This window comes from Homo sapiens, chromosome 5, assembly GCF_000001405.40.
Source record: "Homo sapiens chromosome 5, GRCh38.p14 Primary Assembly".
Lineage (NCBI taxonomy): Eukaryota > Metazoa > Chordata > Mammalia > Primates > Hominidae > Homo > Homo sapiens.
Window position 1 is genome coordinate 105,367,523 of NC_000005.10, and position 25,811 is coordinate 105,393,333.

At 34.3% G+C, this 25,811-nt stretch overlaps 1 long non-coding RNA gene across 2 annotated transcripts in view, besides 1 other annotated feature; it reads right to left on the reverse strand.

The window, feature by feature from the left end:
* The window catches only part of LOC105379110 (uncharacterized), a 149,823-nt gene extending 124,375 nt beyond the window's left edge, over nt 1-25,448 (reverse strand). For both annotated transcript variants that reach the window (XR_948650.3, XR_948649.3), the window contains exon 1: nt 25,239-25,448. This is a non-coding gene — a long non-coding RNA (uncharacterized LOC105379110). The remainder of the gene's footprint in view (nt 1-25,238) is intronic.
* Nucleotides 24,176-25,005: an enhancer, noted in NCBI's record as "H3K27ac-H3K4me1 hESC enhancer chr5:104727399-104728228 (GRCh37/hg19 assembly coordinates)". NCBI's record gives its function as "activates a minimal SCP1, AML or CMV promoter by ChIP-STARR-seq in naive H9 embryonic stem cells {active_cell/tissue: H9 hESC(naive)}" and the evidence as "EXISTENCE:reporter gene assay evidence [ECO:0000049][PMID:30033119]".
* Nucleotides 25,449-25,811: the final 363 nt, after the last annotated feature.

The following is a 25,811-nucleotide window of genomic DNA, read 5'->3' on the forward strand; positions in this document are numbered from 1 at the left end:
GTGTGTGGGTGGGAGGGGGATACAGAAAGGCTGGTTAATGAGTACAAAATTCAGTTAGATTGATTAAATAAGCCTGCATTTGGGATAGCAGAGTAGGGTGACTATAATTAGCCACAGTGTATTGTATATTTAAAAGTTGCTAGAAGATAGGATTTGAAATGTTGCCAATACATGGAAATGAAAGATATTCAAGGTTATGGGTACTCCAAATACCCTGACAATCATTACACATTCTGTGAATGTAACAAATACTCACATGCACCTCATAAATATGTAAAATGTTTGTTTTCAGTTAAAAAAAAAAAAAACCTGATGAAATATCTCCTCACACCTACTAGCATGGCTATTATCAGAAAAAGAATAAGTGTTGGTGAGTATATGGAGAAAAAGGAACCCCTGCACATTGGTGGTGGGAATGTAAATTGGTGCAGCATCTATAAAAATTATATGGAGGTTTCCCAAAAAATCACAAATAGAATTATAATTTGATTCAATAATCCCACAATGGATGTACATCCAAAGAAATGAAAACGTGGATATCAAACAGAGGTCTGCACTGTGCTGTTCATTGCAGATTTATTTACAATACTAAGCTACAGAAACAACATAAGTGTCCATTGATGCACTAACAGATAAACAAATTGTGGTACATACACACACTGGAATATTACTCAGCCTTAACAAAAAAGCAAATTTTGCCATTTGTGACAACGTGGATAGACCTGAAAGACATTATGCTAAGTGAAAAAAGTCAAACACAGAAGGACAAATACTACATGATATCATTTATATATAGAATCTAAAATAGTCAAACACATAGAAACAGAAAATAGAATGTAATTGACAGGAGCTGGAAAGAAAGGGAAATGGGGAGACGTTGGTCTACTGGTACAGTTTCAGTTATATGAAATAAATAAGACCTGGAGATTTACTATACAACTTAGAACCTATGGTTAATATCATATTACTGTATGCTTAAAATATTGCTAAAAGGTAGATCTTATTTTAACTGCTCTTAATGCAAGAGGAAAAGAGAAACACAAAGGTGGTAGGAAGAATGTTTCGGAAGTTATGGATAAGTTTATGGCATTGATAGTGATGATGACTTAATGGTTTTACGGATGTATACTTATCTCCAAATACATCAAATTGTATATATTAAACATGTAAAGCTTTTATATGTAATCATATATCAACAAATCAGTTAAAATTAAATAAATTACATAACTACACAATTTTTAAAAAATCAATTATTTACCATGACCAAATGAATGCAAGACTAATGTAATGTTTTAATACCAATCAGTGTAATCCAACATATTAACAGTCTGAAGAAGAAAAATCAAAAGATTTTATCAATCATTGAGAAAATCATTTAACAAATATCAGCACTGATGATAAACATAAAAAACTCTCAGGAAAACAAAAATAGCTGGGATTTGCTCAACAAGGTAAAGAATATCTACCAAATTTATTTTGTTCATTTTACTCCATGGTGAAATACTGAATGTTTCTTTTCTAATATTAGGGACAAGTCAAAGATGTTCACTGTCAGCACTGTTCAACATAATGCTAGAAATTTTAGCCAGCAGAATAAAACGAGAAAATAAGAGGAATATAGATTGGAAAGGATGAAATAAACCTGTTTCTCTTTGCTGTTAACATGGTTATCTACATAGAAATCTGAAGAAGTCTAAATGAATTTTTATTATATATATATGCATATATATGTGTACATATACACATAGATAGATAATTAGCACTCAGTAAGGTTGCAGGACACAAAACTTGTATCTTATACTGTAGCAATAACTACATAAACACAGAAATTAAGTATACAATACAATTTACTGTCACTCAAGGAAAGGAAATACTTTGGTATATATATAACAAAACATGTCCAGGAAGTGCATGTTGATAAAACACAGTACCGATAACAGCATCCAAATATCTAAATAAATGAAGAGGTGCACTCTGCTAATGGATGGGGAAAAGTGATATATTAAAGGCTCCAATTCTCCCAAAATTGAAATAAAGGTTTAATGCAATTCATATTAAAATCACAAGTACCTTGTAGACATAGACAAGATTACTGTAAAATTGTAAGGAAAGACAAAAGGAATTAGAATAGCTCATACATGTCTATCCAAATTCAAGACCTATTATAAGGATACAGAAATCATTACTGGTTGAGATATTGACATATAAATCAATGGAACAAAAGAAGGAACCTAGAAATACACCCCCAAAATATATCCAACCAAGTTTTGACTAAAGTAATTCAATAAAGGAAAGACAGCCTTTTCAAGAGATGGTACTAGAAAAATTAGAGCTGCAAAGGGTAAATATAAAAAAAAAAAAAAAAAAAAAAACCTTGCCTAGGTCTCATGCTTTCTAAAAATTACTTAAAATCAATAATGTACTTAATGCAAAACATAAAACTATAAAACTTTCAGGAAAAAAGTAGGAAGATATATTTGAAATCTAGAAGCAAATAAATGTTTTTAAACTTGATACCAAGGCATGATACATAAAAGAAAAAAATTATAAATTGGACTTCAAAAATTTAACTTTTGTTTCATAAAAGCCCCTGTTAAGAAGACGAAAAAGGCGGGCCAGTGGCGCAATGGATAACGCGTCTGACTACGGATCAGAAGACGACGAAAAAGATTAAGCTACAAAGTGAAATAAAATATTTTCAAATCACATATTTAACAAACACCATGTAGAATACATAACAAATTCCCAAAACTCAATATAAAACAGCCAAAGGGTCCAATTAGAAAATGAGCAAAATAAATGAGACTTTTTTCAAACATAATATACAGAAGACAAGTACATGAAAATATGTTCAACATCATAGCTATTTGGAAAATGAAAATTAATATCACAATCACATATTAATACACATGTAGCTAAATAGTGAAAATTAAAATTAACTAATTAACTAAAAATATAGCGATAGCACCATATTCTGGCAAAGATGTGGAAAAAACTGGATCACTCTATATCACTGGTTGGAAGGTAAATAGTAGAAGCACCTTGGAAAAAGAGACTGACCATTTGTTAAAACAGTAGTTAAACCTTTAACTACAAGATAACCAATAATTGCACTATTGGATATCTAACCCAAATAATGAGGAATTATTTCCTGTATCCAATCATTGTCTGTACTCAATTACTGACATATTTAATTATTGAAGAATTATATTATTTACCTAGGAATTATAAACGCATATTAAAATATTTTAGTGGTCTTATTAATAATATGCAAAAGCTAGAAACAACACAGATGCCCTCCAATGGATGAATGCTTAAACAAAGTTTGGTATATTTAAACCATAAATTTTTTTTTTTATTATTATACTTTAAGTTTTAGGGTACATGTGCACAACATGCAGGTTTGTTACATATTTATACATGTGCCATGTTGGTGTGCTGCACCCATTAACTCGTCATTTAACATTAGGTATATCTCCTAATGCTATCCCTCCCCGCTCCCCACACTCCACAGCAGGCCCCTGTGTGTGACATTCCCCTTCCTGTGTCCATGTGTTCTCGTTGTTCAATTCCCACCTATGAGTGAGAACATGCGGTGTTTGGTTTTTTGTCCTTAGCAAAGACTTGGAACCAACCCAAATGTCCAATAATGATAGACTGGATTAAGAAAATGTGGCACATATACACCATGGAATACTATGCAGCCATAAAAAATGATGAGTTCACGTCCTTTGTAGGGACATGGATGAAGCTGGAAACCACCATAAAATATTTTTAAGCAATAAAAAATAACGGACTACTGAGACATGCAACAGTCTGGATGAATCTTCAGAGAATTATGCTGACTGAAGGGAAAAAATGTCAATCCCAAAAGGTTACAATGTATGTGAATCCATTGATACAGCATCCTTGAAATGACAGAATTATAGAGATGGAGACTAGACTAGTGGTTTCCTGGGTGTGGCTAGTAAAGAGTAACATGAAGGAACCTTTATGTAATGCAAATATTTTGTATTTTGAATGCCTTAGTGTCAATATCTTGATTATAATATTACATTATAGTTTTGCTGTTACCTGTTTTAAGAAACTGAGTAAAGAACGTGTGCTGTCTCTACACTGTCTTACAACTGCATGTGAATATACAATTATCTCAAAATTTTAAGGGTGTTTAATTAAAAGAAAATCAATTATTTTTCACTCATTGATTTAGACACTAATTGGATACTGGGTTCAAACAATATATTGGACTGAGAAGTGTTAAATCTAGTGTTTCTTGTTTACAGTATTGCTAGTTCCTATTATCAGTAATTGAATTTTCAGTTGCCTCTGTCTGCTTCCCCATCTAGACTATAGAAGTCTTGTTCTATTCTGTGTTTATCATTTTTAATTTCTGTTTCCTTTAGGCCATCACATAAATTGTATTTTAGAGCTCTGCTAACTTTTTTATTTGTATTTATAAAAAATTAGTATCTATCTGTCTACATCTATTTATGTATTTATCACCATCTGTTATCTAAATAGATTTATTCAAAGAAGAGTAGGTGCTTTAATGTGTTGACTTACTAGGTCATTTTGATGAAAAGAACCGGAATAAAATAAAAATATTTACAAAATCCACTGGCCCAGCAACTTTGTCTAAAAGGGATTATAGATAGGCTACTAATCTTCAGGAAAAATAAAAGCATTTAGTACCTAGAGTTTAACAGCTTACAATTTAGTTGCTTGAAATACATTGTGGCTATTTGAAATACTGAAATTTTTTACATGCTGTTTTCAATGTTTGTTCAGTGTGTTGAGAAATGGATGAAGAAATGTCCTCCCAGAAGGATTATAACAGACCAAGAAGGGAACTAGATGAGCATAAATTCAGGAAAGCACAGACCAGTTGCACTTGAAACGTTGTGGAGGCTCAGCATATGTCAACCAAACAGCTGAGAAAACTCTCAGTGATGGATACAATATGGATCATCTCTGCTAGCACAGAAGAAAAACCCCACTCTTTCGGTTCTGATCAAATTCAGTATTGTCAAAGTGAAGGCAAAGTATACCAATAGAGTGATATTGAACTTGTTACCCATTGGTGGTATTCATTCAGTAGTTGAAATGTATTTACTCAAAAATACTGATAAGGCAGCTACTTGATATTAGGTATTATTCCAGATGAGATACCATAACAAACAATTAGACTAATTATTTTTTTTTTTTTTTTTTACCAGCATTGAGTTCTGTTAAAGAGGCCAAAAATAATCAGGTAAAGAAAGATGGCAAAGAAATAGTGGGAAAGTTATAGGAATGTTTAAAGACTTAAAAGACAATAATGTGATATAGAATGCCTTATGCTGGAGAGGAAGAAGGTGGTATATATCTTAGATTGTTCTTTTTTGTCCAGATTTATTGAAGTATAAGTGACAAAATGGTATGTATTCAAGTCATTTATATATATATATATATTTTAGCTATAGAGTGTATATGTATTACATATAATATACATATACATTGTAATTGTATTATATGTGTATATGTATTACATATATACATATATTATACATGCGTTATATATATTTATATATGTATTACATGTAACATACATATACATATATGTAATTGTATTATATGTATATATAGTGAAATAATTGCCACAATCAAGCTAATTAACATATCCATAACCCAACATCCCTACTTTTTTTTGGTTTGGTGAAAAAACTTAAGATGTACTCTCTTATTACATTTCAAGTATAAAATACAGTCATGTGTACATGACATTTCAGTCAATGGCAGACGGCATATATGACAGTGGTCCCATAAAATTGTATCGGAACTGAAAAATTGCCATCACCTAGTGACTTCCTAGGGTATTACCCTTTCTATGTCTAGATGTACAAACACTCAACATTGTGTTACAATTGCCTACAATATTCAGTACAGTAACATACTGTACAGGTTTGTACCACAGGAGCAATAGACTGTACTACATAGCCTCGAGGTGTAGTACGCTATTCCATCCAGGTTTGTGTAAGCCCACTCTACGATTCACACAGTGATGAAATCACCTCACGACATATATCTCAAAATATATCCCATCATTAAGTGACACATGACTATACATGTGTACATGTATGGAGTCATTAACTGTAGCCACCATGTTGTACATTAATTCTTCAGAACGTATTCACCTTATAACTGCAAGTTTGTACCTTCTGACCAACAGCTCTTCATTTCCTCCAACCTCTAAACACTGGCAACCACCATTCTACTCTGTTTCTATGTAATTTTTTTTAGATTCCTTATATAAGTGATATTGCAGTATTTGTCTTCTTCTTTCTCACTTATTTCATGTAGCATGTTTTCCAGGTCCATCCCTGTTATTACGAATGCCAGAATTTCCTTTGATTTTAAGGTTGAATTACATTGTATATAAATATATACCAGAATTTTTTAATCCATCTGTGAACACAGGTTGTTTCCATATTTTTGTTAATTGTGAACAAAGTTGCAATGAACACTAGAATGAATATATATCTTTGAAGTAGTGATTTCTATTTCCTTTGGGTATTGCTGAAGAGGGATTGCTGATTATACAGTGATTCTATTTTTAATATTTTCAGGAACCTTCATACTGTTTTTCATATTGGCTGTACCAATTTACATTACCATCAACAGTGCATTAGGCTTCTATTTTCTTTGCACCTTCTCCAATCCTTGTCTTTTGGTAACAGTCATCCTAACAGATGTGACGTAATAATCTCATTGTGGTTTTGATTTGCATTTCCCTAATGATTAGTGATGTTGGACACCATTTCATGTATCTGTTGGCCATTTCTTTATTCTTCTTTGGAAAAATGTCTATTTGGTTGCTTTCCCCATTTTTTGATCAAGATACTTGTTTATTTGCTACTGAATTGTACGGGTTCCTTATATACCTTGTATAGTAACCCCTTATTAAATGCTTGGTTTTAACAGCAATGAACACAATCAACAAAATGAAAGGGCAAGCATAGATTGGTAAAAAGTATTTGCAAACTATATCTTCTTTTTGTACTAGTTCCTCAGATATAATTTTAGATGCGAGAATACCTAATTTTACCTGAGAAAGGTGGAAAGTTGCACTATGTTGAACTGTCAACTCACAATGTATAAATGCACATTAGGCTGCTATCTTTATTTCTGCTAACCTTGTGTCCTAAATGCCAGAAACAACTTGGCAAAAGGTGTGAAGAATTTGAGGGCTACATCATGTCTGAAAATGAATTTTTTTACTGTATATTCTAAAAGATTTTAACTCCTACCAACATTTCTTGTTGAAATGCAGGGCTGAATAATGGACATAGCTCCATTTTTTGGTGATTTTTAGGAAGCAAGAATATTAGTTATTTCATCAATGAGCTAAGTAATGACATGGATATCTTCCATAGGGCCAATGTGTCAAGCACATTTTTATAAGTTAATAGCTTACTGCAGTAGGTATTTTCTACCCTATTTTGAAAATATAGCTCATATCTTGGAATCAGTTGACATTATGAATATGTCAGATGGGTAAAAATGGAGAATTGGGCTTTCTGAAATAACATTGAATCTGTAGATGCTTTGGGCCATATGACCATTTTAATAATATTGATTCTTCTGACCTATGAACATGGGATGGTGTTCCATTTGTTTGTAAGATAACTTCTTTCATCAGTGTTTTGTAATTTCCTTGTAGATATTTTTCACCTTCTTGGTTAGATGTTATTTCTAGGTATTTTAATTTTTTGTGGCTATTGTACATAAGATTACATTCTTGATTTGCCTCTCAATTTTAAAGTTATTGGTATATAGAAATACTACTTATTTTTGTGCATCGATTTTGTATCCTGAGATTTTACTGAAGTCGTTTATCAGGCCTAGGAACCTTTTGGCAGTCTTTAGGCAAAGAAGGCTAATTTGACTTATTTTCCTATACGGATGTCTTTTATTTTTTTCTCCTGCCTGATTGTTCTGGCTAGGACTTCCAGTACTATTTTGAATAGGAGTGGTGAGAGTGGGCGTCCTTATCTTGTTCCACTTCTTAAATGGAATGCTTCCAGCTTGTGCCCATTCAGTGTAATTGTAGGTTTGTCTTGGATGACTGCTATTATTTTGGGGTATGTTCTTTTGAAATCTAGTTTGCTGAGAGTTTTTATAAAGAAGGGATATTGGATTTTTTTCAAAATCTTTTTCTGTGACTATGAGATGATAATATGGATTTTTAAAAAATTCTGTTTATGCTGTGAATTACATTTATTGTTGTGCATATGTTAAACCAGCCCTGTATGACAGGAATAAAACCTACTTTATTATAATTAATTAACTTTTTGATTTACTGCTGGATTTGATTTGCTAGTGTTTTGTTCAGGATTTTTACATCTATGTTCATCAGGGATTTGGGTCTCTTGTTTTCTTTTTTCATTGTGTCATTGTCAGATTTTGGTATTAGAGTGATGCTGGCTTCACAGAATGAGTTAGAGAAGAGTCCCTCCTTCTCCATTTTTTTTTTTTTTTTTTTTTTTTGAAATGGTTTTAGTAGGACTGGTATCTACTCTTTGTACATCTGGTAGAATTTGCCTGAGAACCCACCTGGTCCAGGGCTCTTTTGGGTTAGGATTACTGATTCAATTTTAGAACTCATTATTGGTTAGTTTATAGTTTCAATTTCTTCCTCATTCAGTCTTGAGAGCCTGTAATTTTCCAGGAATTTATCTATTTCCTCTAGACTTTCTAGTTTTTATGCACAGCTGTGTTCATAGTAGTCTCTGAGGACATTTCATATTCTGTAGGATAGGTTGTAATGTCATCTTTGCTGTTTCTGATTGTGCTTATTTGGGATTTCTCTTTTTTTTTCTTTGTTAAGCTAGCTGTTGGTCTATTGATCTTGTTAATCCTTTTGAAGAACCAGCTTTTGGTTTCATTGATCCTTTGTATGGATGGTGGGGTCTCAATTCCATTCAGTTTTGCTCTAATTTTAGTTATGACTTTTCTTCTGCTAGCTTTGAGGTTTGTTTGTTCTTTGCTTTTCTAATTCCTCCAGACATGATGTTACATAATTAATTTAAGATTTTTCTAACTTCTTGATGTAGGCTTTTAGTGCTCTAAACTTTCCTCCTAACACTGCTTTTGCTGCATTGTAGAGACTAGTATGTTGTGTCTCTGTTTTCATTTTTTTAAAGAGTTTTTAAATTTCTGACTTAATTTCATTGTTTACCCAGAAGTGATTCAGGAGAAAGTTGTTTAATTGTCATGTATTTGTGTGATTTTTGAGAGAACTTCTTGGTATTGATTTGTATTCCACTGTGGTCTAAAAGTATGCTTGGTATGATTTTTATTTTTCTGACTTTATTGAGAATTGCTTTACGGCCGAGCATGTGATTGATCTTAGACTATGTTCCATGTGCAGATGAAAAGAATATATATTCAGTGGTTAATGGGGTGCAGTGTTCTATGTCTATTAGATTCAATTGATCAAATGTCAAATTTATGTCCAAAATTTGTTAGTTTTCTGGCTCAATTATATGTCTAGCCTTGTCAGTGGGGCATTACATTCCCCCACTACTATTGTGTGAATGTCTAAGTCTTTTTGTAGATATAGAAGTATTTGTTTTATGAATCTGGATGCTCCAATGTTGGGTGCCTTATATTTAAGATAGTTAAGTCATCTTGTTGGATTGAAGCCTTTATTATTATGTAGTTAAAACCTTATTATTATGTAGTGCCCATCTTTGTTCTTTTCTATTTTTGTTGGTTTAAAGTCTATTTTCTATTTGCATGATAGATCTTCCTCCAATCCTTTACCTTGAGTGCAGGAGTGTTGTTACATGAAAGATGGGTCTCTTGAAGACAGCAGACATATAAGTCTTATTTTCTTATCCAACTCAATACTTTGTGCCTTTTAAGTTGGGCATTTACATTCAAGGTTAATACTAATGTGTGAGGTTTTGATCCTAGTGTGAAATTGTTACCTGATTGTTTTGTAGTTTCTATTATGCCATGTCTTTAATGGGTCTGTGGCCAATGTACTTAGGTATGGTTTTGTAGTAGCAGATATCATTCTTTCATCTCCATGCCTAGAAATCCCTTAAAAATCTCTTGTAAGGCTGGTCTAGTGATAATGAGTTCTCTTAGCAATCACTTATCTGAAAAAGATTTTATTTCTCCTTTGCTTATGAAGTTTAGTTGGGCAGGGAATGAAATTCTTCGCTGGAGTTTCTTCTATTTGACAATGCTGAAAATTGGCCCCTAGTCTCTTCTGGCTTGTAGGGCTTCTGCTGAGAAGTCTGCTGCTAACCTGAAGGGGTTATATTTGTACATGATCGACCTTCTTCTCTAGCTGCCTTTAAGATTTTTTTCTTTAGCATTGACCTTAGATGTCTGGTGACTATATGCCATGGTGATGCTTGTTTTGTATAGCATCACTTAGGTATTCTCTGTATGTCTTGTATCTGGATGTCTAATTCTAGCAAGATTAGGGAAATTTTCTTGAATTATTCCCTCAAATATGTTTTCCATGTTGACTGCATTTTATCCTTATCCCCCAGAAATGCCATTAATTTAGAGGTTTCGTAGCTTTACGCAATCTCATATTCCTCAAAGACTTAGTTGATTTAAAACAAAGCTCTTCTTCCTTTATTTTTATCTGACTCAGTTAGCTTGAAAGACCAATCTTCAAGCTCTGAAATTCTTTTTTCTGTTTGGTCTAGTCTATGGATACAAGTTTCTGTTGCATTTGAAATTCATTACGTGAGTTTTTCAGTTGCAGTAGCTCTGATTAGGTTCTTTTTAAGATGTTTACTTCTTCCTTTTTTCCTGCATTGTTTTAGGTGTTTCTTTGTGTTGATTTTCAATCTCATCTTGGATCTCATTGAGTTTTCCTGGAATACATAATTTGAAGTCTTTATCTTTCATCTCTCTGCTCTATTTTGGCCAGGGACAACTGCTGGAGAGCTAAGGCAAGCCTTTGGTGGTGTCACATTTTATTTTTCATGGTGGCAGAAATCTTATGCTCGTTTCTTCTCATCTGGAGATGGTTGTGTTTGATAGGGTCTTTTAACTTTGCTTCTATAGTGTCACACACTTCTGTCAGCAGGTTTTGTATTTGGCTGTAGGTTTGACCCAAGGGCCAGTGGATGGCATTGGCAGGTAGGAGACAGCTGCCACACAAGCAAGTGTATGGACCTGATCTTTGTTTACTATAAAGTGCCCTCTGTTGTTTCAGTTGTAGGGCTGAACAGTGGAGTGCCCAGTGCCCTGAACTTCCTATTCCCTGTGGGTGCTGGAACACATCTGTGCAGATGGAGCCGGTGACTTTCCCATGGATATCCCAATGGTGGGCACAGTCACCAGCCCTAACCAGGGTGTCTGGAGGGAGCTCATGGTGAAGTGCACTGAGGTCTCTGCCGGGGTTGTGAGAGGGTTGCATTGGCTCCCCATCCTAGATAGACATGAATGCAATCTGTTTCCCTATCACATTCCTGTTCTACCACTTGTGACTCCTAGTTCACATGCATAGTGTTGTCTATCTCTAGACTGTAATGTGGTTGGAAGCCACAGGGAATGCCTGTTTTGCTAGTCTTTGTGGGAGTGGTTTCAGGGCATAACCTCATCATACAACTTGATACAGAAAGCTTTAAGGCTTGACTGCTCTCCAATGTGGCAGCACTGCTCTTCTAAAGAGAGGGCTCTACCTTTGGGCCTGTGTGAGTGGATGTTAGTTGTGGTAGTGTTGGCTGCTTTGGTCAGCCTGACCTCTAGCCATGGGGGAGGTGATTAGGTTCCAGCAGAATTAGAATGTGGGGTTGGTTGCTCCTCCAGTTCCAAGGCCCCTAGATGGCCTTCTGGACAGTGTGTATGAAGGGACTGGACTAGAGTCACCCTAGCCCAGAGTCAGATGCTGGCTGTGATGAGGAGAGCAGGCTGGTCTGCAAGTTGCTGGCCAAACTCTCAGGCAGGGGCAGGCAAAATGCTTAGGTGGTGGGAGCCTGAGGGAACACCTTACATGGTCTCTTAGATGATACACTTGAAGAACTGGTATTTATTCACCACTTTATTTCCTCTCCATTAGAATGGCATACAGTAGCTTCTTCTAATCAGTCATCTTGAACATAACCCTCAGTGATTAAGTTTGAAAGTATGCATTTGGGGGGTACACAGTCAGAACATAACAGTCTTCAGGACTACTTTATATTTGAATTGCTTTCAGAAGAGTTGGTTAAAAGTCCCCCTTACAAAAGTGAGATGACAGAACCAGTGGCCCATCAGTGATACTTACTGTTCACAACACTATGTAGTAGAGCCTATGGGACAATGTGGCTCTTTCCTCTAAAGAGGAAGACAGTTAACTTGAAAATATATCAATATTGTACCACTTAAAGAAAAGCATGTGGTAAAATTAGTCACTGGATTAGCCCTCTGAAAATCACTGTCCGATCATAAAGGCTATTTGATGTGGCTATAACTCTTTAATACATATTTGCCCCAACTCTACTGGGAAAAATGGAAGCCCAGATTTCATAAAGTGTGGGTTTTAGTAGCTTACAGCGAGTAAAATAAGCTGGCCATGATTTCCAGTTGATGCTCCAGACATTGTAGAGCTGAAAAAAAAAACATCTCTGTGTACTATATACAAACTCCTGACTTAAAAATGCCATGAGTGTAGTAATAAAACATTTTATAATGCCAAGTTTTTGAATAAGTTGTTACTTAGCAATAGCATATGGAACACAAATATTGCAAGAATGAGGGAAAAAGCAAGGGATAAATTGATAGCTGCATTGAGAAAACCAGGCGCAAACAGGAGGCAGGATTTAATTAACTGCCTGTCTCACATGTCTTCACACTGGCTGACAGATTAAAATGACTGTGATATTATGCATTGTTAGAAATTAGTGTTACAAACAGCCACTAGAGCCCTTGAATATTTTTAGCATTTCTCTTCTTTCAATGTAGTCTTATCCAAGCAATTAGACACACATATCCTAGAATAAAACTTAGAGAAAAGTATGCATTTCTGACTCCTCTTATGGGTATTGAGACAAGACGGTTGACTTCAATTGGACTTTTTCATCAGTAATATGGTTTGTCTGTGTCCTTACCCAAATCTCATCTTGAATTATAATCCCCATAATCCCCACGTGTCAAGGGTGGGACCAGGTGGAGGTAACTGGATCATGGGAGTGGTTTCCCCTATGCTGTTCTTTTGCTAGTGAGTGAGTCTCATGAAATCTGATGGTTTCATAAGCATCAGGCATCTCTCCTGCTGGCAGTCACTCCATCCTGCCACCCTGTGAAGAAAGTGCCTGCTCCTCCCATTTGCCTTCTGCCATGATTTTAAGTTTCCTGAGGCCTTCTCAGCAATGCAGAACCATGAGTCAATTAAACCTCTTTCCTTTATTTATTACCAAGTCTCAGGTATTTCTTCATAGCAGTGTAGGAATGGACTAATACAATCAGTATTCCCAACCAAGAAAGGAGAACCAGTAAGGAGTTCCTTTTTAATGCTTTAGTAACAGTTGACCAGGTAATTCAGACCAATTCTTCCACTAAAGACAATTAGAAAAGTTAGGGCGCTGCCACTTAAAGCAGTCAGAAAACTAACAATACTGTGAAGAATGGCCAGGCCAGGATCAGGGAGAAGAGATAAATCTGGGATATTGATCCCATCTTCTGTGGCCATTTGTGGTTTGTAGACTTTTGCAAACTCCGTAAGAACAAAGTAAGCATGAGCAGCACACATAAAAACTACATAATAAACATAATTTTATGTGTAGAAATTTTTGAGATTTATAAAGGACCATATACAAAATTGTGTTAGCCCATTCTCACGCTGCTATGAAGAAATACCTGAGACTGGGTAATTTATAAAGGAAAGAGGAATTGACTCACAGTTCCACATGGCTGGGAAGTCCTCAGGAAACTTACAATCATGGTGGAAGGCACCTCTTCACAGGGTGGCAGAAGAGAGAATGAATGACAGCAGGGGAAAGGTCAGACACTTAGATAACCATCGGATCTCCTGAGAATTCACTCACTATCAGGAGAGCAGCATGGGGGAAACCACCCAAATGATTCCATTACCTCCCACTGGGTCTCTCCAAAATACATGAGGATTATGGGGATTACAATTCAAGATGGGATATGGTTGGGGACATAGCCAAACCATATCAAAAGTCATGAGGCAATTTCTGGCAAATTTCAAAAACTGATATACAGATTATATGAATTAAGCTGGTATTTAGTTATATCAAAATGTTAACTAGAAAAATTGCATATGTTTGTGCTACAGCCTGAATTGCTCCCCACCCCACATATTCACATGTTAAAGCCATAACACCCAATTTGACTGTATTTGAAGATACAACTTTTAAGGAGGTTATTAAGGTTACATGAAGTTAGAAAGCTAGGGCCCTAATTCTATAACATCGGCGTTCTTATAAGAAGACACGCCAGGAGTGTGTGCACATAAAGAAAAGGTCATGAGGGACATGGTGAGAAGGCAACTGTTTTCAAGTTAAGGAGAGAGGCCTCACCAGACATGAACAATTGCTACATCTTCATCTTGGACCTCCAGGCTCCAGAGCTGTGATAAAACAAAAGTCTGGTGTTCAAGCCACCAAGTCTGTGATACATTTTTATGGCATCCCAAGAAGACTAAATCCAGTTTAGAAAATAAGGAATGCATTTTTAAATAACCCATGAGATTTACATTTTCAGTCATGAAAAAACAAAATGATCGAAAATTATCCTCTCACCATAAACAAATAGAAACTGGAGAAATTGTAAGAAACAATTTTCAGTCATAGGCAATAGACAATGAAATACTGTCATCTCTGAGAAACAGGAAACAAATTCTGTGAGTCCTACCATTATGTAGACTTTTGGAAGATGATATAATTCTCAATGTCACATGAGGGAAAAACTAAAATCAATACAGAAATCTCTCTTGAAAGAGAACACAGATAATAGAGTTCAAGGAATATGAGATAGCTAGAATTTGTAGGGCAGATAAGTCAAATTGAGGGAGCTACACAGAAAGGAAGATTTTTAGAAATCTGCATAGGAATCCCAATAAGTTTTGGCTGAATACCAATCTGTGCACGCATAGGGGGAAATCAACCAAGGGTAGAAAGCAGAAAGGGTAGCGAAGGAAACAATTACTTAATAGTCATAAGAATAAAAATTCCCAGAACTCACTTAGGGCTAATGATAGTTTCAGCTTTTATCAGTCAGAATGGAGAGATATTAATGAATAATGATGACATGTAACAGAAAACTCAAAGCTTTCTACCTTTAAAGTAGAACTCAATTAGCCCTAAGATAAAGGCAACTATAAGCCTCCACAAAAAGAGCTTAGAAACAAACCTTGACATGATCAAACTGGTTATCAAGCAAACTGACTTCAAGAAGTTGAACACTGCTTAATGATATAAAACAGATAGTACTCAATGTTTAAAATGCATTAATAATCACCACGTGTATAAAGAAAGAGTGAACAAAATATAGGAGGAAAATGTCAATAAAACAAAAACAAATGGGAGAGGTAATAAATTCGGAAAAAAATAAAAGCAATTGTAGATATGTTCCTATGTGAAAAGATGAAAAAATATATAAATATGATGAAAAGAAAAACACTAAGCTAAATACAAGATGGAAATTAAACTTCTAACAATGCAAAACAAAGAGCAAAAAAGGCTGGATGGAATTACAGCAGATGAGACCTGAAAGAAGAAATGATTAGTGAACTTTGGTATAATAGCAATAAAAATCCAAAATAAAATATAGGGAAAAAAGAAACCTAAAAAGTAAATGAATACAGCATCAGCAGCCTGAGAGAAAATATCAAGAAATTAAGCAGTATAATATGTATTTGATTAGAGTCTCCAATGGGTAAGACAAGTGAGAGTGATGGGGGTCATATACAAAAACACTACTTGAAGAAATAGTACCAGAAATGTTATAAAAACTATAAAAGCACATATTCTAGAAATAAAATTTTAAGCAGAATCAAATGTTAAATAAAATAATAAGAAAAGACATACTAAAGCAAACAATAAATGAATTGCTGAGAAGCACTGAAAAAGAAAAAAATCTTAATTGTAGGCAGAAAAAAAGAAACTGCACACAGAATATAAATCGTAATTATAAGAAATTTGTTATCAAAAGCTATGCAATCTAGAAGATAATTAAAAGTCAGCCTTAAAATACTAAAAAAAAAAGAAAAACTATCAACCCAGAGTTTTGGCAAAGTGAAAATATCTCATAAATTGAATGTGAAATAAAGTCTTTTCCATTCATGCAAAAGATGAGAAAATCACTGGCAACAGAGATGAACTGTTGGTCTTTTATGCAAAAAGGAAATGATACTCAATTAGGGTTTTTCAGAGAAAGAAAGACAATAAAATACAGACACAGACACACACATACACATACACACACACACACAAACACACATACACACACGGGGGCGGGGGTTAGGAAAGAGATTTTAAATAATTGGCTCATATGATTGCGGAGGTTGGTAAGTCTGAAGTCCTGAAATTTGGTAGGCTCAAAATCTAGAGTTAAGAGTTACAGGCCGGGCGCGGTGGCTCACACCTGTAATCCCAGCACTTTGGGCGGCCGAGATGGGCGGATCACGAGGTCAGGAGATCCAGACCATCCTGGCTAACACGGCGAATCCCCGTCTCTACTAAAAATACAAAAAATTAGCTGGGCATAGTGGCGGGCGTCTGTTGTCCCAGCTACTTGGGAGGCTGAGGCAGGAGAATGGCAGGAACCCGGGAGGCGGAGCTTGCAGTGAGCTGAGATCGCGCCACCGCACTTCAGCCTGGGCGGCAGAGCGAGACTCCGTCTCAAAAAAAAAAAAAAAAAAAGTTACAGCCTTGAGTCCATAATTAAATCTAAAACCCACAGGGCAGGACAGCAGGCTGTAAACTCAGGCAAGGTTCCCATAATGCAGTCTTGAAGCAGAATTTCTGTTTCTTTGTAAAACCTCAGTCTTTGTTCCTAAGGCCTTCAATGGATTAAGTGAGGCCCACACGATTATGGAGGTAATCAATTTTACTTAAAGTCTACTGATTTTAAAAGTTAATCAGATATAAAAAATACTTTCACAGCAGCATATAGTGTTTAAACAAACAGCCAAGCACAATAGCCCTAGCCACACTGACATGTAAAATTAATCATTATATAGCTCATTTAAAAGTCTCTACCTACAAAAATAAATGAACAGTACTGGTAAAAATAAATGTGTGAGTAAACACAGAACATTTCAAATTTATAAGATCTCATTTAAACATCACTGAGTATAAAACTAAGGCTACAATTCAGACTGTAATGATAAACTGTGGTGTAACGTGTAAGTAAAAACATAATTGCAAAAAATATGAAGAAATTAATTTATAAATTACATATTTGTAAGATACTAAAGTGTATATTAAGTGATACAACATTACTTTAAGGTAGAATTTTGTTGGTTAAAAATGCATGATGAAAACCCTAGGGCAACCACGCATGCATGCACACGGATACACATGAAAAAGTATATTTCATAATCCGTTAGGGATGATAAGAATAAATTATAAAATAATTGATATGAGAAAAAAGGAAACCAAAACCAAACGGGACAAACAGAAAACAAATAGCTCATGATATGGTTAACCATAATCACCTTAACAATTGCATGAAAACTAAATGGCTTGATTATTTCCTTTAAAGTTAAGAGCACTTAAACCTGAATGCAAAGTGTTACCTAATACTTGCTGCATATAATAAAGTCACATTAACTATAAATGCATAGATATTTGAAAAGTAACAGAACAAATAAAGCATATACCATGCCACCATTAATCAAAAGAAAGTGAGTAGCTATGTTAATATTGCATAATTTAGACTTCAGAATAAATATTACAGTGATAAAGAGCAAATTTTATATGATAAACTGGTAAAATAATTAAGAATCTGTAACAAGCTCAAATATGTATGCAAAGAACACCACATTTTATAGGTAACATCTATTATGACTCATTAGATCAATAGAAATATCTATAAATATATTTATGATTTCAAAAAAACTCTCTAAAATATGTGAACCAAAATATTTGTAAATATATACAAATCTTGCTTGACATTATCAATTAAGACTCTATCAGACCTTTGTAGAATGCTTTCCTCAATAACATCATCATGTGTATCATCACAAGTGCAAAAGAAACATTCACTGATATAATTTTCTGGATCTTCTTTTTTGTTAGTTTTTTTTTTTTTTAAAGGATTAATAAATTCAAAACAATTCAATTTATGCAAAGTAAATTTTCTGATCACGGCTAAATTCCCAAATACTAGAATATTCAATAGTACATCACTAAATAAATACCCATTGATCAAAGGATAAATCACAAGGAAAATAAGAAAAAAAAAATTGAAATGAATGAAGATGAAAGGAGTATATCAAGATTTGTGGCACACAGTTAATGCAGCACTTTGCAGGGATAGGCATAGTAGTAAAAGCTTATATTAAAAGGCGTAAGTCAGAAAAAATTTTTAAAAATATCTAAATGTATACCTCATTAGAGAGAGAGAGAAATTAAGCAGAATTAAAAACATAAAAATCAATGAAATAGAATATGGTTAAAGAATAGCAACAATCAAATAAAAGTTGGCCCTTTAAAAATATAATTAAGATTGATAAGCTATTAAAATAAAAGATTAAGATAAAATAATTTATTATAAATTATCAACATTAATAATAAAGGACTAAAGTCCACGTCTTAATATTTAAATGCTATTTTTCCTACTGTTGAATATTAGGAACAGAGCAAAGTTTTTAGCTCTAATAATTTATATTCAATATCTTTTTAAAGAATTCAAGAAAGAAAAACTTAAAAAAGAGAAGAAAGAAGAAAGAGAGGAAGGAAAAAAGAGAGATCAAAAGGAAATAAATTTGAGAATAGTTAAATTCAGTCAGGTTTTTGTTCAGACAACATGATAGGCTATGTATAAAATTGTAATAAATTTTTTAAAAAGGAATCAGTACCTATGAGTTTAGCAAAGTATTTATGATACAATGTTAGTATAAAATTTACATGTATTACCATATACTAGTAATATCCCATTGAAAACTGAAATTTTAAAAACATCATGTACAGTAGCATCAAAAATATAAAATACTTGGGACCAACAATAAAATATGTACAAGATTGCATAGCGAAAAGAGCAAAATATTATTCAGATGAATCTTAGAAGACCTGAATAAATTCATTTATTTCATTTAATTCCCAAGATAAATCCCAGTAGGCTTTCTGTTGAAATTGAAAAACGAGTTTTAAAGTCTATATGGAAATAAAAAGAACTTAAAAGAACCAAAACGGTTTTGTAAAAAGGAACAACAAAGTTTAAGGACTAACCATCCTGATTTCAGGATTTATGCTAATGCTTCAGTAATCAAGACAGTGATTGAGGCATTGGTTTAGGGATAGACATGTAAATTAATGGAACAGAATAACAAGGCCAGAAGTAGACTTACACATATGTATATGTGTACTTATACATTTGACTTTTGACAAAGGCACAAAGATAATTACTGAGGAAAGAATAATTTCTTCAAAAAGTTGTGTTTCAGCAGTCAGAAAGTACTAAAAAAATGAAATAAATTTGAACTATTACCTGATATTGTAGGTAAACGCTAATTCAAAACGAATCTCAGACTTAAATGTAAAAGTAAATTATATTTTCACTCATTCGAGGACAGAAAAAAATACATATAAAAGAAAAAAATAAAAACTGGGACTCTAAGCAAAACCAAAATTTTATTTGAAAATTTACTATCAAGAAAATGAAATGGAAAACCACAAACTTGTGGAAATTATGTACATATCACATATTTGATCAAGGACTTATATCGACTACATATGAATAATTCTTATGGTTCAATAATGAAAAGACAAATTATCCCAGAAAAAATAGGCAAATATTAGAACAAACACTTCACCAAAGAAGATATATGGATGCAAATAAACACATAAAATGTGCAATTTTATTTGATTATTTAAAAATGCAAATTAAAACCACACAGCATCATTACTACACATGCAGTAAAATGAATAATTAAAACACTGACAATACCAGGTCTTGGAGAGAATGTAGAAAACTGGAACTTACATATATTGCTGTGTGAAATAGAAAAGATATAGCTATGTTGAAAAGAGTATTGTATTTTTTTGTAAAATTAAACATATACTTGCCATACAATAAAGTACTGCACTCCTGGGACTTGAACCAAAAAAATTCAAAATCTTGAATATTCATAGCTACTTTATTTGTAATAGCTAAAATGCAGAGAAAGCCCAAATGTCCATGAACTGCTGATTGAATAAACCAGTTGTGGTGTAGCCACACAAAGGAATACTAGTCAACTAATTAAAATAAATTATTAATACATGAAACACTATGGATGAATTTCAAAAGCATTACACTAATTGAAAAAGTAAAAGATTATTTTATATAAAGTTTTGATAAAGGGAATGACTTTTGTGACAGAAACATCAATTACTGACAGAATCTTGGTGTAGGGGGAGGGCTTTCAGTGCAAAGGGGCAGAGTGGAACATACTGGAATGATGGAAATGTTCTATACCTTGATTGTGATTGTTGGTTACACACTGTATTTATTTCTTAAATAATCAATCCCTATAGTTATATAGTTATGATGAAAAAAATTTAAAAAATTGATATCCTTCTCTACATTTTTCTTATGGAGACAAGCGAAACAAATTTTGTTTCTTTGAATAACTTCTGAAAAATTTGTTAAATCAATGTAATCAGAAAAAAAGTTTTAAAAAAATTTTCTATTCCTTCTATTTAATACTCTTCTGGAGGTCCTAACCAGTACAGTAAGGTGAGAAATAAAAACAAAATATAATGATGAGAAATAAATAAATATTCATGACTGATGTGATGTTATATGTAAAACAATATAAAATAACTCACAGATCATGCATTCAAATTAGTAAGAGTATAGTCATGTTTACAAGAAAGGTATAGTAACCCCAAAAGTTTGCAACCTATTGCCTGTGCTCATGGTGCAGAGACTATGCTTCCAGTAAATAAGGAAGATAACCCAGTCAAATATCCTTGTAAAAATATTGACAGACCTCCTGGCAATCAAACAAATAGTGTTTTCTTAGAGCAGAACGACTGTGGCAGTATAAACCTAGCCTGTCCACAGATACTTATAAAATCTATAGGTGACATAGATTTTATAGACAGTCACATAAATCAGGACTCAGCGAGCTTTTTTCTGTAAGGTAGCTACATAGTAAACAGCTCAGGCTTGCAGGTCACATGAAATCTCTTTTACATATTTTTTTTTCTCTCTTCTTTTTGACAATAATTTTAAAAGCCATTCTTAGCTTACCAGCTATACAAAATCATGGTAAGCTGAATTTGACCATTGGTCATAACCTGTCAATCCTTATACAGATTATTAGAAAAAAAATTGAAGATGTGTCATGTCCAAAATGACTCTTCTATGAAAATTATGCATCTGTATATATTACATAGAAACTCCATGTTAACCTGGGCAAGAATACCTGTTACTGCAGCCCAAAATGAAACTTTAAGCTGTGTTGGTGAACCCAGACCTCCTCTACTGTGCATTGTAATCAATTAAATCCTGGCAACAATTAGGAAGGCTTGATACAGGGGAAGCTCTCTGGTTTGTGTGCATCTGATTGACAATTTGAATGTTTGGAATATCATATAGGCAAAATATAATAAATAATTATATTCTTCTCATGAGGAGTAAAATAGCAGAAAACAGAATTAGTTTCACACCTTAAACAAACAAAAACTCAGACAAATTATATTTTTAAAAAATGGCTCTCAGACGTTGGTTGGCAGGAAGCATGAGGGAGGACTCCATCAGCAAAAGGGAACAATGAGTAGAGCCCAATGATTAGGTCAGCACCTTGCCTGGAGAGTGTTTCAGGCTAGAGTAGAGTGCATGAGAACTCAATAGAGCCTGGTTGTCTCCCTGATTCCAGGAGATGAAGTTAGGGAGCCCAGGGTGTCTAGAATTCCTGAAAAAGTTAAGTCTACAAGAAAGACACCTTAAATACATGAACTCAAGATAAATATAAGAGAATACAAAAACTATGCCATGTTAACACTACTCAAGAAAAATCTGAAATCATATAATAAAACAAAACAAAATAAATTTGAGAGAATAAATGTTACCAGAGATAAAGCAGGTCATTTCAAATAATACAGGAGTCCACTAAAACTAAATATGTAAATGCAAATGAACCTATCATAAAACTAAATATGTAAATGCAAATGAACCTATCATGAAGCATTATAAAACAAAAATGATACAAATAAAGTAGAAATAGACACATTTACAATGACAGTTGAAGATTCCAATACCACTTTTTGATAACTGATAGAATAAGGCAGAAAACCCGTAAAAATCTGGAAGATGAGTAACATCATCAACCACTGACCTAATGGTAATTATGGAACACTCTATCCTACACCAAAACAAAGGGTACTAATGTTCCAAGTGCACCTGGAACATTTTCCAAGGTAGACCACATCTAGTCCCAAAAAATAAGTCATAGTGAATTTGCAATTAGTAAAATAACACAGAGCTTGTCCACTGATAACAAAAATAAATTAATAATTAGTAAAAGAAATATATCAAAAGTACCAAAATATTTTAAAATTAAAAAACACTTTTCTGAATCAACTATGGACCAAAGAAGAAATCACAAGAAACATTTTAAAATATTTTGAAAAAAACTGCAATTACGATGTGTTCAAAATTGTGGGTTGCAGCTAGGAAAAAAAGAGCATTTCCCAATTTATGAACTAAGTTTCCCACAGTAATAAGCTAAAAAAATAAAGAAATTTTACACTAGCAGAAGAAAGAAAATAATTTTTAAAATGCAAAAATTAATAAAATAGAAAAAGAATCACAATAGGATTAATAAAACCAAAAGGTCATTGTTTGAAAAGATCAATATATTTGATAAATTTCCTACCTGAATTATCAGGAAAAGAAAAACAGAGAAATAACAAGGTAATATTATCAAGAATGATAAAGGAAGATATTACTAGAGATCCTAAGAGCATTTAAAGTATAATAAGGAAATATTATAAAGAATTCTTTGGTAATATATATCACAATTTAACGAAATGAACACATTTTTTGAAAGCACAGACTACTGAAGTTTGCTGAACAAGAGATAACTTGAACAGTCATAAATCTATAACAAGTTGAATTCATAGTGAAAAAATTTCCATAAAAGATACCCAAGGCCCAGATGGTTTAACGGGGAAATTTTCTGAAACATTTAATGAGAAATGATACCAATTCAAAACAAGCTCTTTTAGAAAATAGAGAAGAAGCAAACACAATGGGTGAGGCTAGAATTACTGTGATACCAAAACTAGACAAAGTTATTACAAGTAAAACAAAACAGAACAAACGAAAAAACTGCAGACCAACATCTTTCATGAATATATGCAAAAATTTCAAGCAAAATGTTTGTAAGTCAAATCTGAAAATACATAAATATATACTATATTGTCACGCAATGGATTTTATCCTGGAAATACGAATTTGATACAACATTTTGATATCAATTAATTTAATTCACCATATTAACAAATTAAAAATAAAGGAAAGAAGCATTTGATCGCCTCTATAGATGTAGACATTTTTTTGGCACAATTCAACTCTAATAATAATAAAAAGAGTTGCGTAAAACAGGAATAAAGATAATTTCTTCAACCTAACAAAAGACATTGATGAAAATTCTACAGCTGATGTCAAAACAATGGTAAAACTGTGATTATTCTCATCCTAAAATCAATAAGAAGGCAAAGCTGTTGACTCTTATACTGTCTTCTCAACATTTAACCAAAAGCCTTAGTTAGTGCAGTAAGATGAGAAAAATAAGTACAAACTGATACTCTTTATTTTCAGAAAACACATAATTGTCCATGTAGATAATTCTAATGCAACTCTAAAAGCGAACAAAACAAAACAAAAACTATTAAAACCAACAATTGAGTTTAGCAATGTTAGAGGATAAAGTCAATAGAGAAAAATTAGTTCTATTTTAAATATGCAGAAATTGAAAATTTTAAAAATTATAGAATTTTAAATACCATCAGTAGACATTAGGAATTTAAAAGTAAATTTGAGTGACACTATGAATGACCTATCCCCTGAAATCTACAGAACATTTCTAAGAGAATTTAAAGACAAAAATCAATGCAGAGATATACCATGTTCTTTGATTGGAAAAATCAATAGGTGTAATATGTCAATTTTATATAATATTTTGATTGTGATTACATGCATTTGATGTATATACACCCGTGAATCCAACACCATAATCAGAATTAACCTGTCAACACCAAAAGCTTCCTACTTCTTATTGTCACAGGATCTTTCACATGTCACTTCACCAGCTGGAAACCTCTGTGGCTGGCAGTGCCTCTGCTTAAGTTTACTTGCACCCGCTGGGCTCGTTCCGCCCACTTGGCCCACCAGGTTGCCTCAGTTTGTACTACTGGCCCGGATCCCTTGCCCTTCAAAGGCGTACCAGGCATGGAGCAGCAAGGGGTGTATGAGCGAACAAAGCGGTGTATGAGCGAGTGAGTGCGCTGTTTGGCCAGAGCTCACAGCCAGGCATGTTGGCAGCTGTGGAGGGCCAGACACCTCCAGGTGCCAGCACAGGTGCCGGCCCTGTGCGAGACTGTGGCTGGACTAGGCATACCCCAAGTAGATTCTGCTGCGGGTGCCAGCATCTAGACAGAGGGAATGCGGTGGTGTTTAAAAACTCAGTGACACCAGCAACCGTGAAGCCCCCAGGGCTGGAGAGGGCATACTACAGCTCTCATTCCTGCCGCCCATATATCACCGAATGGTGGGGGTAGGGGAGATGTATTTTCAGCTTGTTGAGCCCTGCAGCCTCGCTCCAGCCGAGGGCTCCCAGGCTGGCCTGGTCCCGCCAGTACTTCCTGTCGTGTGGAGCAGCTACCTGACATTGGCGGAGGGTAGGAGGGCTATATATAGTATTACAATTCTGGCTCGGGGATTCCCGAGGTCTGGGCCCCTAGAAGGATTGCTGCTCTTTACTCCTCCAGTTTGGCAAATGCGAGCAGGTCACTACCTACAGCTCAGCGCGCTCGTCAGGAACATGTTATAGCTCCTTTAGCTCCTACCTGCAGCTTGGCGATCCGGCCAGGAAAGCGTTACAGCCCTTTTTGCACCCGCTGTTCTGTGGGTCCCGGGTTTATGTCCAGGAAGAATGAAGTTGCACGGTCAACTGAAGGGTGAGCACGGTGGAGAAGAGTTTTACTGAGTAACAAAACAGCTCTCAGCAGCGAGAAAAAGCTGAAGACGGTAGCTCCTAACGCAGCCTGGTAGTCGACAGCTGTGGCCGAGTCCAGGGGTTTTTATATGCTCAGAATGAAGGACGTGCATGCTGATTGGTCCATGGGTGGGCTCTGAAAGAAGAACCATTTGATTGGCTGAAAGGCATCAGGAAGTTCTCACTTCCGGTTGTGGATTCTACCTGGAACTGGCAGCCCGGTTTTCAGGCTTTTCAGGCTTTGGCTTGAAAGTTGGATTTCACCAGGGACCCACCCTGATCTGCCTAGGAATTTGTCTGCCTCCTGCCACTATCACTATTATAAAACATCCCTTCCTCCAATTACATATGCAGGGAACCACCGATTACTTTGTCAATATTATGTATTTTCTAGAATTGTGATAAAGCTAATTATACAGTATGT